At 35.9% G+C, this 17,050-nt stretch overlaps 1 protein-coding gene across 25 annotated transcripts in view; it reads right to left on the reverse strand.

The window, feature by feature from the left end:
• CDC42BPA (CDC42 binding protein kinase alpha) overlaps window positions 1-17,050 on the reverse strand; it is a 328,635-nt gene that overhangs the window by 20,720 nt on the left and 290,865 nt on the right. For 12 of the 25 annotated variants that reach the window (XM_017002580.3, XM_047432364.1, XM_011544309.4 and 9 more), the window contains 5 exons: window positions 15,478-15,575; window positions 12,686-12,770; window positions 6,350-6,473; window positions 5,503-5,620; window positions 301-486 (listed from right to left, as the gene is read on the reverse strand). In XM_017002580.3, the coding sequence (XP_016858069.1) occupies window positions 301-486; window positions 5,503-5,620; window positions 6,350-6,473; window positions 12,686-12,770; window positions 15,478-15,575 (611 nt within the window). Of the gene's footprint in view, window positions 1-300; window positions 487-2,124; window positions 2,550-5,502; window positions 5,621-6,349; window positions 6,474-12,685; window positions 12,771-15,477; window positions 15,576-17,050 lie in introns of those variants that run through there. The other 13 variants (NM_001366011.1, NM_014826.5, XM_047432365.1 and 10 more) reach the window with 2 other exon arrangements.

Raw genomic sequence — 17,050 nt, forward strand, 5'->3', positions numbered from 1 at the left:
TACAATGGGAAAAACTTTTATTAAACATAGATAAATCTTTAATACTGTGTTTCAAAAATGAAAATTGAAATCTTCCCTATTCCTCCATCTTCTTCCTCAAAAGAAGAAACAAAATAGAAATGGGAAAGAAGAGGAAGATACATGGAGGAAGAGGAAGAGGAGAAGTTTGGCAGAAGAGAAATAGGCCAAAGGAAAAGGTTCACAAGATGGCACCATTTCAGCGGTGTTACTTATTAAGCCAGGCAAAAGGAAATCCATACATGGTTAGTGAAAGTTAACACCTGACTCAGCTGTTCATACCCTCAGAGTCATAAAGCTTGGTGTACCAGGGACAGAGCGCAGAGACGGGGAATATTCAGGGTTTATGGAATCAGGAGAGAGAAATTTTTCAGCAGAATTAACAGTCATGTGATAGATGTGTTCAAAGTTGATCGGAGAGGAGATCAGACCGGAGTGATGATGAGGGGATGGATAAGGGAAACCTGGCTATCAAAAACAAAAGAAAGATGAAAAAAGGCAATAAGGTGATGAAAATGGATTCACATTTCACAAAACATGCACACAGAACAAATGGAATAGTATCTGATATCAGAGCTGAATCCTTAATGAAATACTTTTAGGTCTTAGAAAGTTAAATTTTGTAATACTCTTGCCAGTTACTTAAATAGTTGATTTGCAAAAGATCATTCTTTTTTATAAAATTATTCTTTAATTAAAATAAGTAAGGAGAAATTGGACTTTCAGAGATACAAGACTTTCAGAGTTTAGTTCAGTATTTTCTTATGTAATAACACAATCAAAATATGGCAAAAATCTATCAAAAACATTAAGGATAGAAAAAGCAAGAAACAAGCAAGAACATGAACAAGTGAACCTACAACAGCTTCTAAATAGACGTGTTATGAAACTGTTTCTTTAGAAATCTAAAACCATGTAAAAGCATTCCCTGATAATGTGTTTGTTTTTACTGATTTTATTTCCTTATAACAGTTAACCATGGAATATACTAATTATTGGTTTACCTTTAAGCAGCCCAAGCTTATCTCCATTTAGACACCCAAAAAGAACATGTTTGTTTTCTTAACAAGGTAAAAATCTTCCCTTCAATGTTCAGGTATATTTTTTAAAAATGAAATAATGTAATATCAAAGATATAGAAAAAAGCTTTTGAATCCAAGGACTATTTTTAGAGATAAAAGAACTACTTCCGATTACGCAGGAACTATCACTCAGTAGCCAGTCACCTTCTCTAATGGGAATTTTCAAGATTCAGTTCTTGAAGAACAGTTATGTTTCCAGAAAACATGATCCCTTCATTAGAGGCAGAGGGTGAATGGCGTGTTGGAGAGAGTGCTAACTGAATCCAGCATGGAATTCACGTTCCCATGAGCTGAGATGAACCTGCTTTGTAAAAAGATTGCATAAATTACCTAGCCTTAGAAGAAAGGCTCTTCTGTAAGGTCTTGTTTTTATTCTAGATATATGAATAAAATCAGTACCCTCTGAGGTTGTACTGACGTACATGAAACTTTGACTTTAAGAAGCAAAATTACATCTTAAAGCTCCAGGATGTCACTAAGCTCGAAAATATACTTTTATTAACAATTTTAGTAATGGATAAAAAGCTAGGAGAAATGTAATGTGCTAAAAATAAGTCTTCTAGAGGTAAAGTATTATTCTTGCATCCAAATTAGAGAAAAATTTGTTCTTTATCACAAATAGCAACCATGTATTAAAACGGTAAATTATTTTAAAAATTCAAGAAAATGAATATAGCATCTATTTATAAGCCACACACACCATCTTATATTAATGCTTATATTGTCTTGGCTCACTTAGATACAAATAAAGGTTTGCATCTGATAGAGGAATATGACTCCCTTAGCCTCACTTCTCCTTCCACATTCAAAAAGCAAACAATTCTGTTTCAAGAACATCTTGCACAAAAGCAACAGAATTAAATTTCTAAAGACATACAATAAACTTTCTAAGCTTATAAGTATTTCACAGGAAAGCAATACTGATTTGAATAAATTAAAATATAAAAATGTCTGGGACACATGCTCTCTGAATAGATGACAACATGTGGCTTTGGTATTTAAAAACATATATGTTAACTTTAGATAAATTTAATTCATCTTTATTTTATGAGACAGTTTGTAATAATTCCATTTCAATGGAAAGAACATATTAACAACTGAGAATACATTAAAATATCACAAGCTTTTCAATAGATACATACACAAGTACAGGCATGCATATTATTATTATTTTCAGACATGCATATTATTGTATTTACTAGTGTCTACTCTGAGATAAAGATGGTTCCGGGCACAAAGTAAGTGCTCAATAAATATTTGTTAGATGATTAAATGGATGCCTATAAAAAAGCCCCAGGTTATATGTCCTTTGGTAGTGAAATAGAAAAAAGTCATGTGACAATAAAATCTGGTTGTGAAGAAGAGGAATTCAGACAGATAAAATCTTTGATGCATACTACATGTACAGGTGAAGAAACAGGTTTCAAAAATTTACACCAACTTCTTGTCCTGGAAATACAAAAGCACTTACGTGATAAGAAAACATTAAAGCAATGAAAGGTACATTAAAAACTGAAATGCAATGAGAGGGCAAAAAGTCACTTGTGTTAATGCCAAAAAGAACGATTATCATGTGTTAACAAAATCAGGTGACAACAAACACTAAAAACCAAGCAGTCTAATGATTCTGTGGAAAATGCTATCTTCACTTGTTTTGCTTATCAATATAGACCTTATTTTGAACAAAAAATAAGATACAGATTTTTTCTTTTTATCTCTTTTTTTTTCTTAAAGTGGTGGAAGGAAGAGGGAAGAAAATGTAGAGGAGGGATCTCTGATAAAAAAAGTTCTTATAATGTTTGAAATCTGACATTTTGGCATCAAGGTGCATAGTCTTATTGGATATGAAGGTCTGAAAGAACTCTGGAACATTAGCAAACTGATTTTTCACCTGATGGCAGAAGGATACTAAGCAGAGTAACATTCTGTTAAACACTGTAGTATGCGGGCTAGAATAGAATGTCTACAAACATTTTCTATACTACTTCTAGCTACATTGTTGGAATGTATGAGATAAAAACATTCTTTTCTGTGTAAAATGAAACAAAAGTGTAAAAAATTTAAATTTTAAAAGACTATCTATTAAAACCTTGTAACTACTGAAATAATTTTATATTTGCTGATGTTTTGCTTTGCAACTTACATATTTGAAATTTGTATCCTGCTACCCCTACATAATTCTAACTACATATTATGTATTGAAAAAACTACTAACTCAATTTAAAAAGTTTAATTAAAATACTACACAGCACTTGACTTATCAAATATAAGTCATAAATATATTCACATTTCAATTGTTTATCACAATTTAAAAAATTCTTTACGGTATTTTGTGCCTGACATCCCACCTTCCATAAGGAAAAACAACATGCTTTGGACTCTATAGTTATGCTATGTTTACTTCTGAGGTTAAAGGAAAACCAGACTCAGGACTTTAAGCAAATGTTCCTAATGGGAAAAGGATGGAGAGAAATCTGAGATCTCACTCCCAGAAAAAGGTTGAAAAAAAAATAGTATAGCTTTTAAACATGATAGAAAAGTATAATAGTTTTAATATTTAATGTGCTTGACCTGAAAATTTTTAAAAGTACTATATCAAGATAAGCTGTAATCTAGTTTTTGCACTTTTTAAATATTTACTCAGCACAGCCAACCCTATTCCAAAAACATAAGTGATTAATGAGGCTGGTTTGAACTCCACAAAGAAAAGTATATTACTATGAATATATAATAATATTTTGATATTATTGGTAATGGTAATAAGAATGTCACATTCATTCATAAGCAAGCAGAGCCAACTGATGAACTGAGATATTTACAATGAAGAACTCAGACTTGAATGCAGATATGTTTTCTTCCCATGAAATAAATGCAAACCTCCCTTTAAAAGGCGTTTTTTTTAATTTAAAGAAACTTGACTGCACACCGAATTATATTATCAATCAATTTCTCTGTCAGTGATAGATGTTTATATCTTCTATCACTGTAGTGTTGATAATGTGGTTAATTAAGACAGATTTCCTTAGAGAGCAATTTGGGTCAAGATTCACAAATCATCTCCCAAATGGCCATGAAATATGAATTATACTTAAAATTCTGCGCAAAATTTAGCAGCTATCACTACCAATCAAAAGGGTCATTTTTAAAGTTTTAATAGTATGCTGAGAGAACTATGGTACTGAAATGTACAGAGCCTGGCTAATTCCACTAATATTCTTAATTTAAACATGACCGGTCTGAGAGCCTAATCTTCATATTGTTAAAACAGAATAGTTCTCCAATGTTGTACTTTTTTTTCTTTTTTTGAGATAGGGTCTTGCTCAGTTGCCCAATGCAACGGCAATCATAGCTCCCCGCAGCCTCAAACTCCTGGGCTCAAGTAACCCTCCCACCTTAGCCTCCCGAGTAACCAGGACTACAGGCACACATTACCATGACCAGCAATGTTTTTATAGAAATGGGGTCTTGGTCAGTCTTGGTGGCTCACGCCTGTAATCCCAGCACTTTCAGAGGCCAAGGTGGGTGGACCGCAAGGTCAGGGTTCGAGACCAGCCTGACCAACATGGTGAAACCCCATCTCTACTAAAAATACAAAATTAGCTGGGCATGGTGGTGGGTGCCTGTAATCCCAGCTACTCAGGAGGCTGAAGCAGGAGAATCACTTGAACCTGGGAGGCAAAGGTTGCAGTGAGCCGAGATCACACCATTGCACTCCAGCCTGGGTGATAGAATGAGACTCCATCTCAAAAAAAGAAAAAAAAGAAATGGGGTCTTGCTTATGTTGCCTGGGCTGGTCTTGAACTCCTGGCCTCAGCAATCCTCATGCCTTGGCCTCACAAAGTGCTGGGATTACAGGCATGAGCCACTACACCTGGCCTATGTTATACTTTTTCACGTACAACTGACCAGGTAACATGTTTGTAAATGGGCAAAGGAAAACGATTTAATTTCACAACTGTCGGAGAGATGTGACCATTAATAACCAAGCTAATGTGGTTCTCTGGGAAGAAGGAAAAAAAAAGAGTAGGCCAAATATCTGTATTGATTTGCTAACACGTAGTGAAATTTTAGTGATTTGGTAACCACATTCCAAATGTGGTATAGAACCTCTCCGAATTTGGTAGTTTCTTCCACCACCAATAGTAAACCTAGGCATGGGAGAAATTCTCCAATATGGAACTAAGTAAGAACCTGATTTGTTTGGCTTTTGACAGATGTCTAAATTTTATGTTTTGTTCATCAGGTATGTCATCATGTATCTTAGACATATTGTGGTATACTGAGAGAAACATTTCCTCATTACTTTCACATATCCTTTGAAGTCTACCCATGTATTTAAGCCTATGTATTTATACTCCCCCCACACCCGCCCTTTTTTACACTCACTCTTAATTCCTCTTACCATGGGCAGATCTTTCAGGATCTGTATTCCATCTCCAGGACCCATGTGTGCTATGTGATTAAAATTAGTTGGATTAGAAATTAATTTATTTCTCATTTCTGGATCTCGTAGCATTTCCCTGTAAGACAAGGCATCTGTTTAGATACTTTTTCCACAGTTAATTTATGTAGCTTATGAAAAAAATTAAGCTTAATTTTCTTAATAAAAATACAACTGTTAAATCACATTAATAAGAATATAGAGTAACAGAATATACTCAATTAAAAATGTACTTCCTTAGAATATTTTGTTTTAAATTTTAAAAGATCTTACGATTTTAGGTGGAATAGTAGAGGATCTTTTTAAATACTTAAGACATCAAAGAAGCTCTACTTTGTTTTACATATAATTCTGAACATTTTATGTATCTCTTTAAAAATGATTGGTAACACTTTAGAAACGGTCTTATATATAACTGTAAATACTACAGTCCTACTTCTGTTTGCTCATGAAGAGAGTAGTTAGTCTGAACTTCTTAGACATATACAGGTTTACTGTATGCACAGCTATGTCCTATGCTTATACTGTAGAAAGGTACACAATCCAAAAATATGACTATTCCATATACATAGAGAAGTGAATGAAGTGAATAAAAATATGGTACTTTAATCCAGTGCATACTCACAATTTTGAGAATATTAATTAAAATGACACTGAGAAGTTACATTCATTATTGCAGTTTTTGACACCACAGATCAATGAGATTTTCAGATACCCAATTTTCCTTCCAAATCAAATATAGTATCATCACCGAGTAGTCCTTGATGGTACAAGCAAGCATGGATGATACTACAGGTTAAGTATCTACCTCCTCTGCTGCATCCTTTCCTCTTCTGGGACTCTGAAGGAATAACGCCGCTTATTGTTAATGTTTCTAACCATTTGTTTCCGACTATTATCTGATGTTTCAGGTACTACCAGTTCGTCCCCTTCTGTTAAAATAAAAATACAAACGATAATGATGTTCTTTAAACTGTTAAAATGCTTTTTATCTATTAACCTCCAAGACAGTACAAACATTGATAGTACAAGTACATGCAATTCTGGTTTTTAAATGTTGTGTTGATAACCCAGTAAATAATATTTAACAGAACCTATGTAAACAGATAATATGCTGAAAGTAAACATAGCTTACAAAATATACTTTCACTTTTACTTGATTATAAACACAGTAGGACATAATTTTACTAGAAGAAAACTGCAGTTGCCTTGGTGTTCTGTCACTAATCAGCCACCCCACCCCAGTATCTCAATACTATATTTTCTCTCCCTCCAGGTATTGATTTCAATGGCTTAGGGTGTTGTTAAAGAGCTACTACTGTTACCCTGAACAGTAATCAGGCATAAATGGTAAGCCTGATTTACCATAAGTGGTAAATAACAATTACAACTATCTTTACATAATAAAAAAATTTCCTTTGCAAGGTTCAGTCTATGAGATACGGAGTAAAAAGAAGGAGCTGTGCTTCCACTACCCTTCCTTTATAAAAGGTAAGAATCTGTCGCTATTTTTCCTCTTCTGATCTTGGGGGTAGATGATGTTTAATCATATACACCTAGCAACCCAGTGATAGTCTTATCCGATGTCAGTTTTAATATCTAGAAGTAAACAAAACTGTCTGCCAGGGACTCCCAAAACATGCTGGGCTGTGTGAAAATAAGAAAAAAATAGACAACTGTATCCATATAACACAACAAATGGTGTCATTATCTAAATAAGATAAGGAAAAAGAGCAAAGTTTAGAAATTTTCAACACCCAAAAAGCTGAAGTGAGAAGGAGGAGGTGAGAAGAAGCCAAACGAGCCTAGAAGAAAACAAAGGTGATAATTAGCAGAAATGCAACATGATCCTCGTGGCATAATCATATGGCTTAGGCAGACTGCTTTCCTAACAGTAAATATTTTAAAAATAGAATTATTATTATTATTATTATTATTATTTATTTGAGGCAGGGTCTTGCTCTGTTGCCCAGGCTGAAGTGTAGTGGCACCATGATAGCTCACTGCAGCCTCGACCTCCTGGGCTCAAGTGATCCTCCTGTCTTGGCCTCCCAAAGAGCTGGGATTACAGGCACATGCGCCACCATGCCCAGCCAAAGAACAGAATTTTTGAAGTGAATGAGAATGTGGGACACAAATTTGGAATTTGAGAATTATGAGGGTAAAGCAGGTCTTGGAGACTCAGGGTGGCAATGGGAGATTTTGGACAGGCAGAGGGTTGCAGGAACACTTTGACCTCTTAAGAAATGATGGAGAAAGCAAAACACAGAAAAAGAAAGGACCTCTTGAGATGGGCTTTCCTTCCTTTGTCAAAGAAAAAGACAACTACATTAAAATTTTGTCAGGTCCCTCTTCTCCAAGATCTACCTCTACTCTTAGCCTAGAGTAGAAAGATGAAAAAGCATGGGAAAAGACAAGTCAGAATAGGTTTTGTCTTATAGACACATAGTGGGTATGAACACATTTATGACCAGCATAGTCACACACAGTGAGAATAAGGTGGAGCCAATCTTATACAAATATGTGGAGTTCCTCTAAGAAACAGAATACAGGCATACCTTGGAAAAAGTGCAGGTTCAATTTGAGACCACATAATAAAACAAATATCAAAATAAAGCAAGTCACACTATTTTTTTGGTCTTCCAGTGCATATACATTATGTTTACATTATACTGTAGTCTGTTAAGTGTGCAACAGTACGTGTCTAAAAAAAATACATACCATAATTTAAAAATGCTTTATTGCCAAAAATGCTAACAATCATCTTCACCTTCATGAGTCATATTCTTGTTGATAGTTGGAGGGTCTTACCTCGATGTGGATAAGCTGCTGACTGAGCAGGGTGGTGGCTGCTGAAGGCTGGAATGGCTGTGGCAATTTCTTAAAGTGAGACATCAATAAAGTTTGCCACACTAACTCCTCCTTTCACAAAAGATGGTTCTCCATAGCATAATGATGCTGTTTGGTAACATTTTACCCACAGTAGAATTCCTTTCAAAACTGGAGTGAATCCTCTCAAACCCTGCCTCTGCCCTATCACCTTAGTGTATGTAATATTGTAAATATTTTCTTGTTTTTTCAACAATGTTCTTAACATCTTCACCATGAGTAGATTCCATTTCAAGAAACCATTTTTTTTTGCTTACCCATGAGATACAACACCTCATCCAATCAAATTTATCATGCGATTGCAGCAATTCAGTCTCCACTTCTAATTCTAGTAGTTCTCTTGCTCTTTTCACCACATCTGTAGTTATTTCCTTCACTGATTTCTGGAACCTCTAAAAGTCATCTATGAGGGCTGGAATCTGCTTCTTCCAAACTCCTGTGAATGATGGTATTTTGACCTCCTCCCATGAATCACATACGTTCTTAATGGCATCTAGAATGGTGAATCCTTTTCAGAAGGTTTTCAATCTATTTTGCCCAGATTCATCAGAGGAATAACTATCTGTGGCAGCTATGGCCTTATGAAATGTGTTTCTTAAATGATCAGACTTGAAAGTCAAAATTACTCCTTTATCCATGGGCTACAGAATGGATGCTGTGTTAGCAGACGTGAAAATATCATCAATCTCCTTGTACATCTCCATCAGAGATTTTGGGTGACTTAGGTGCATTGTCAATGAGCAGTAATATTTTGAAAGAAGTATTACTTTTCTGAGCAGTAGATCTCAACAGTGGGCTTAAAATTTTCAGTGACATCCTGTAAACAGATGTGTTGCCATCCAGACTTTGTTGTTCTGCTTATAAAATACAGGCAGAGTAGAGTTACCATAATTCTTTTTTTTTTTTGAGATGGAGTTTCGCCCTTGTTGCCCAGGCTGGAGTGCAACTGCACAATCTCAGCTCACCGCAACCTCCACCTCCCAGGTTCAAGCGATTCTCCTGCCTCAGCCTCCCAAGTAGCTGGGATTACAGGCATGTGCCACCACAGCTGGCTAATTTTGTATTTTTAATAGAGACAGAGTTTCTCCATGTTGGCCAGGCTGGTCTCGAACTCCTGACCTCAGGTGATCTGCCTGCCTCAGCCTCCCAAAGTGCTGGGATTACAGGTGTGAGCCACCATGCCCAACCGAGTTACTGTAACTCTTAAGGGCCTAGGATTTTTTCAAATGGTAAATGAGTACTGGCTTCAACGTAAAGCCACAAGCTGCATTAATTCCTAACAAGAGTCAGCCTGTCCTTTGAAGCCAGACATTGACTTCTCTCTAGCTATGAAAGTCCTAGATGACATCTTCTTCCTACAGAAGTCTGTTTTAGCTAAACTGAATTTCGTATTGTTCAGTGTAGCCACCTTCATCAATTATCTTGGCTATGTCTTCTGGATAAATTGCTGAGCTTGTACATCAATACTTGCTGTTTCACCTTGCATTTTTATGTTATGGAGATGGCTTCCTTCCTTAAATCTCATAAGCCAAACTCTGCTAGCTTCTTTTCTTCTGCAGGTTCCTGATAGCTCTCAGCTTTTACAGAATTGAAGAGAAAGCTTTGCTCTGGATTAGGCTTTGGCTTAAGGGAATGTTGCGGCTGACAGTCTCTCCAGATCACTAAAACTTTCTTTGTAACAGCAATAAGGTTGTTTCACTTTCTTATCATTCATGTGTTCTCTGTAACAGCACTTTATTTCTTTCAAGAACTTTTCCTTTGCACTCATGACTTGGCTAACTGTTGCAAGAGGCCTAGCTTGCAGCCTATCTCGACTTTCAATATGCCTTCCTCATTAAGTTTAATCATTTCTAGCTTTTGATTTAAAGTAAGAGATGTGCGACTCTTCAGTTGAACACTTAAGAGTCTATTGCAGGGCTATTAATTGGGCTATTTCACTATTGTTGGTTCTCAGAGAATAGAGAGGCCCAATGAGAGGGAGGGAGACCAGGGAACAGCTGCTTGGTGGAACAGTCAGAACACACACATTTATCAATTAAGTTTGGCATCTTATATGGGCATGGTTTGTGGCACCCCAAAACAATTACAATAACCTCAAATTTGGATCACTGATCACAGATCACCGTAACAGACAGAATAACAGTGAAAAAGTTTGAAATATTGCAAGAATTACCAAAATGTGAAACAGAGACATGAAGTCAACACGCGCTGTTGGGAAAATGGCACTGAGACTTACTAGAGGCAGGGTTACCATAAACCTGCGACTTGTAAACAATGTAGTATCTGTGGAGCACGATAAAGTGGCACACAATAAAATGGGGGTATGCCTGTATAAAACTAAGTATGGGTCTTGGAAGTGAAGCATCTAAAGCTTACATTTCATTAACTTCACGGGGTATCCATCTCTAAATGAGAATCACTTCTAAAACCTGAATATACTTTCTTAAGTCATAATGGAGTCTTACCATAGACTTCTGCTATATTCACCAGCCTGTTCACCAAGAAACCTCTGGTTCCAAGACAATGTACCAATGCACTGAACCAGAAATCAAGCAATTTTGTGTATTCCAGTACTTAATAACACAAAAACACACCAACAAAATAAAACAAAACCAACAAAAATAATCACAGAAAAACTTCTGATGGATTTTTTTTTTGATAGTAGAAAACACAAATTTATTAGAGGAATATGGGGTAGGTGGGAGAAAACCATTAAGATAATAATTTCATGGCCAGGCGCGGTGGCTCACGCCTGTAATCCCAGCACTTTGAGAGGCCAAGGTGGGTGGGACACGAGGTCAGGAGATGGAGATCATCCTGGCCAACATGGTGAAACCCCGTCTCTACTAAAAATACAAAAAAATTAGCTGGGCATGGTGGTGCGTGCCTGTAATCCCAGCTACTCAGGAGGCTGAGGCAGGAGAATCGCTTGAACCCAGGAGGCAGAGGTTGCAGTGAGCTGAGATGGTGCCACTGCACTCCAGCCTCGCAACAGAGCGAGACTCCGTCTCCCCCGCAAAAAAAAAATAAAATAAAAATAAAAATTAACTACCCCAAAATAATGGGTCTAAACATTTTAATGTGTTTTCTTGAAGCCAGTATTTTTACTTATATTTGTCTACTTAAAATTATTTTAAATACTGGCCAGGCGTGATGGCTCAGGCCTATAATCCCAGTACTTTGGGAGGCTGAGGCAGGTGGATCATTTGAGGTCAGGAGTTCAAGACCAGCCTGGCCAACATGGTGAAACTCCATCTCTACTAAAAATACAAAAAATTAGCTGGGTGTGGTGGTGCATACCTATAATCCTAGCTACTCAGCAAGCTGAGGTGCAAGGATCACTTGAACCCAGGAGAAGGAGGATGCAGTGAGCCAAGATTGTGCCACTGCACTATAGCCTGGGCAACAGAGTGAGACTCCCGTCTCAAAAAAAAAAAATTATTTAAAATACATAATGTACTGTAAATACATCCTCGCTAACAGACTTGCCATAACAGATCAGAAATTTACAAATACTTCTATTATATAGAAATTTGCTGCTATGACACAAAAATGACTTTATTATATAGAAGAGGGCACTATAATAATGTTCGTTAAAAGTGAGACTTTAACTGTTTGGACACCCTGACAGGCAAACAACATTTAATTCTATGTGAACAGTCTCCCTGGCATTTTATGTGTGGTATGTAATGACATGTGTGACCTCAATATTTTGGTCACTGACCAAATATCCTCCCCTCCTGTCTGTAACACTCTGGGTCTCTACTCCCTCTCCTGATTCCAGGCACTCCCATGACTCTCCTCTCTTTCCTGCTTCTTCCTATGCTGACATCACCACTTTCGAAGTGCTAGGCCCTGTACACTGGCAGAAGATATGTTCCTGAAGACATATTCCTCAACTCTAGATGAGTGTTTATAATTTTAATGTTACAAATTTTGGTTAGGTTCTACAATATTGAAAATACAGAAGACATAATCAGCTACACTTTCTCTACTTACTCAGGTACTCCACAGAAAAATAACAAGGTACATCAGAATCAAATACTTAAGTGAGCTTAAACAGAACGACTTTTTGCCCAGTAATTTATTCTAATATATTAAGAATGTGATAGTGGCCAACATCATAGACTTGGAGTAAGATACACCTGTGTTGAAATCTGGACTCTGGCACTTATTATTAATGTGACCTTGGGCAGTTAGCTTAGAAATAATATTTCCAATGAAGCTATCCCTATGAATATATGTATTTTCTTACCTGCCATCTTATTTTTGAAATATATTAATCTAATGGTCTCCAACCCTAAAAGATTTAATGATCCTTCATTGTTTAAGGGTCGAACCTAAAATAAAAGACAAAATTAGTATTTCAACAAAACCTTTAAAAATTAAATTATAAAACTTTTGTCCTGCTTATAAAGCACACCTTATTAAGACTTCTCATTTATCTACTTCAAAATGCAGCCCTCTCAGAAAAATCAACAATAATTCTGACTGGAAAGGTATAATACTATCTAATTTGAACAAACAAACTTGCAATGATAATATTTTAAAGGAAGGCTATCCTAAGCAAATGAACAAATAAGTAGAAATACATTTAAACCTTAGACTTTTTAAAGCCATTAATGACCCAACAGTTATACTAAGCAGATATCAACACAGCTGATTTATGAATTCTTACTATCAAAAACTAAATGCATACATATGATGGAGATGGAAGGGTAGATCACTGGGGAAAGGAGGGACTGTCAATAAATAGTGATTGAGCAACTGGTTATACGGAACCAAGCATGAATTCCAGTTGGATTAAAAACATAAACGTAATAGGCTAAGCTTTACAATGTTTGGAGGCTGGGTATATACATTTAAAAAAGATTTTTTAAAAAAGGTAAAATGTTTGGAGGAGAATAGAATGTATCTTATGACCTTAAGGTAGGAAAGAGTTTCTTAAACAAGAGAAAAAAGACAAACATAAAGGAAAAGAAAGATACATTTAACTACATTAAAATTAGTAACTTCTGTTCAGCCAAATACAAATGAATGAATAGGTCACAAAGAAGAAAAAGATTTACATATCCATTATTAGCCAGTATCCACAATGTATAAAGAATTTCAATAAATAAGAAAAATATGGCCAATCCAATAGCAAAATGAGCAAAAAGCATGACCAGGCATTTTATGGAAGAGGAAATATGAATGATGAATAAACACACAAAAGACTTTCAACTACACAGTTAATTAGCAACATGCAAACTGAAACTTCAATGAAATACTACTTTGTAACCATTTACAAAACCTATGAATCCTGACAATGGAAAGTACTAGGATGTTGATAAGAATTCCTTTATGCTGTTGATGGGAGTATTGGTTGGTACAATTACTTTGGAAAATAATATGACACTATCTCATAAAGCTGACTGAACTCCCTATGTCCCATCAATTCTGCTCCTAGGTATATGACTCAAACTCCTGAAAACTATTCCAAAAAACAGATGCAGCAACATCACAATTGCAAAAAGCTAGTAAATAATTCAATGTCCCCCAGTCAGGGAACAGACAGTAGTGCTAAGTTCACCCAACAGAATATTTTATAGTACTGAAAGCAATAAACTATATGGTATATATAACAACATGAACGAATGAGACTCAGTGGATGAGTAAAGAAAGCAAGATAGAAAATGACTATATATTATAACATTTTCATAAAGCTCAAAACCAAGCAAAACTGAAAGATATATTATTTAGGGATACTTAAATATGCAAAAATTCTGTATTTTAAGAAAAGCAAAGGAATGATAAGCACAACATGACGCAGTTTGCAGTTATATGAGTGATGTTCTGATTCTCAGGTTAGGAGGTAGGTTCATGAGTGATCAGTTTATTATTATCTTTCACAAAGGCCATATATCTATTCTTTCACATACATTGCAAAAATTACATGATAAAAATCAAATAGGGCTGAGTGCAGTGGATCATGCCTGTAATTCCAGCACCGTGGGAGGCCGAGGCGGGCAGATCACTTGAGGTAAGAAGTTCGAGGCCAGCCTGGCCAACATGGTGAAACCCTGTCTCTACTAAAAACACAAAAATTAGCAGGGCATGGTGGTGTACACCTGTAGTCCCAGCTACTCTGGAGGCAGAGGTGGGAGAATTGCTTGAACCCAGGAGATGGAGGCTGCAGTGAGCTGATATCATGTCACTGCACTCCAGGTTGGATGACAGAGCGAGACCCTGTCTCAAAAACAAAAACAAAACAAAAAAATCCACAGAAAAGTAATAATGACCAATCCAAATTTACAAACTAGAGTATATTTTAGTTGCTTTAGATAATCTGGCAGTATTTACAAGAGCTTTTTAAACTGCTATTATGATTTTAAATGGGTGCTAATTTTGAAATATGATCTAAGCTACTTTCACATATTCTCTAAACCCTGTCCCCCAACTAATCATACATGCTATATATATATCACATCTATCTATATGAAACTATTGCTCTTCATTTTTGCAAACTAGCAGTTCTATAATTGTAAAAATTCTCTTTGTTATGGAAACAGGATTATATATTAAGAAAAATATTATGTTTTATTAGGAATATATGAAATATTTATTTTTCAATTATGGACACTTAAACAGTTTTGGTTCTAAGTTTAATTACTTTTCTAGCCTTTTAAATCTGTCCTCACAGGATTAAACACTGGGTGAATGACAGTTATAATTCATAATAATCATGTACTCTCTCAGAGCTCCTTAATCCAAAAGTAGAAGATAACACTGACATTTTAAGTTGTAGGATATATTCTAGTTGTTCATAATAATAACAATCATACTTTGCATAAACCAAATATAGTAAAATTAGTATGGTTTTAGTGAGGCATAAGGAAATTAACCAACTTTATTTCTGTTTCTATTTTCTCACTCTTAGCTAAGTCCCAAACTGCCAATTACACATTCCAGAAAATGTTGAATTAATAAAAAAAAAATTACTATGTAGTAATTTAGTGTTTTCACTTATACTCAGTTGGCTTAGCCCACATTTTAATGTTAAATTACCTTTTTGAGAGGAAGAGTCTGAATCCATTCCATGGAGTTCACATCAAAGATATCAACTGCATTTTCACTGTACACCGAGAGATATGGTGCATTGTAACCTGGGAGAAGGGAAGGGGGGGCAGCTTGCGGATTACTTTTAACTATTAAACCCCAAATATTTTGAAAGGTCTACACTAAATAACTGTAGAGTGGAATCCCACCCAAATCCTATGGGGCTATCATATAGTAGCCAAATCAAAACATTTTTGAAGCAAACAGAACATATATCGTAAATGAGGAACTGGTATACCATGATTCAGATTATATAGCCGTTATAATATAGACGGATTCTGTAAACACCAGGGGTATACTATTTCTTTGCCCAACATGAGTTCTATAAAGGAATTTCATTATATTTGAACTATTTGATTCCTAAAAGTAGTTAAGTTATTGACAGTGAATCAAACTTAGAAAGCAGAGAAATCTTCAGGTAAGTGTTCTAGTCCCTGTTAAGAATGTATAATAAAGCACTGTAGCACAGTTACATGAATAGGGTAGATGCTCAATATACACTTGTTGAAAGAATGAATATCAACAAATGGTGACACAAGCAAAGAAAGATTCAATGGTTTACTTAAACTAAGGTTACAAAGGGAATTATTGAAAGAGCTACACAAAAAAGTCAGACATTCCAACTCTGACTCTACATTAGAATAATCATAATTATTATCTGATTCAGTTACAAGACAGCATTTATTCCACTGATGAGTATGAGAGTGTGTGTGGGTTTGTGTTTTTAGAGATAAGGTCTCACTGTATTGCCTAGGCTGGAGTGCAATGGCATGATCATAGCTCAAGTGATCCTCCTACCTCAGCCTCTTGGGTAGTTGGGACAACAGGCATGCAACCACTACACCTGGCTAATTAAAGAAAATTTTTTATAGAGACAGGTTCTCGCTATGTTGCCCAAGTTGGCCTCGAACTTCTGGCCTCAAGCGATCCTCCTGCCTCAGCCTCCTGAAGTGCTGGGATTACAGGTGTAAGCCACTGTGCCCACCTAAGACCATATTTTTCAGAAGAAACAAAATATTAAAAATAGTTAATTCCCAAGATCTGCAGTTGAAAAGCTGGAAAGACAAAAAACAACAACAATAACAACAAAAAATAGTTAAGTCGTTCATCCCAGGATGGAGGGTGGGGGAAAAAAAAGTCTGGATGGGTAGAACTAGAGGTATTTTTCTTTTGTCCTGTTCACGCAGACTTTCTGATTTTTCTGTAATGAGCATGGGTTGCCCTCCCAAACTTTCTCGCACTGAACCTTTAAACTTGACTAGACCCATACCCATCACTCCTCCTCCTACCTTGTTACAAATGAAGAGGTTTTACTCCTCCTGCCCCCAAGTAATTCTTGCACCTGTCTTCTGAATTTTGTCCTCTCTGGCCTTCTTGGCGGTCTTACTCTATTTCCCATATAGACAACTTTTCCATGTAGTTCCCTAGGGTTTTTTTTCCCTTCAGCATTTTAACATGCTCAAGTATTTTTCATTAAAAACAAAACAGTTTGGATGAAATACTTCTATGTGCTTCTACAGAA

This window comes from Homo sapiens, chromosome 1 (assembly GCF_000001405.40).
Source record: "Homo sapiens chromosome 1, GRCh38.p14 Primary Assembly".
Taxonomy (NCBI): Eukaryota; Metazoa; Chordata; class Mammalia; order Primates; family Hominidae; genus Homo; species Homo sapiens.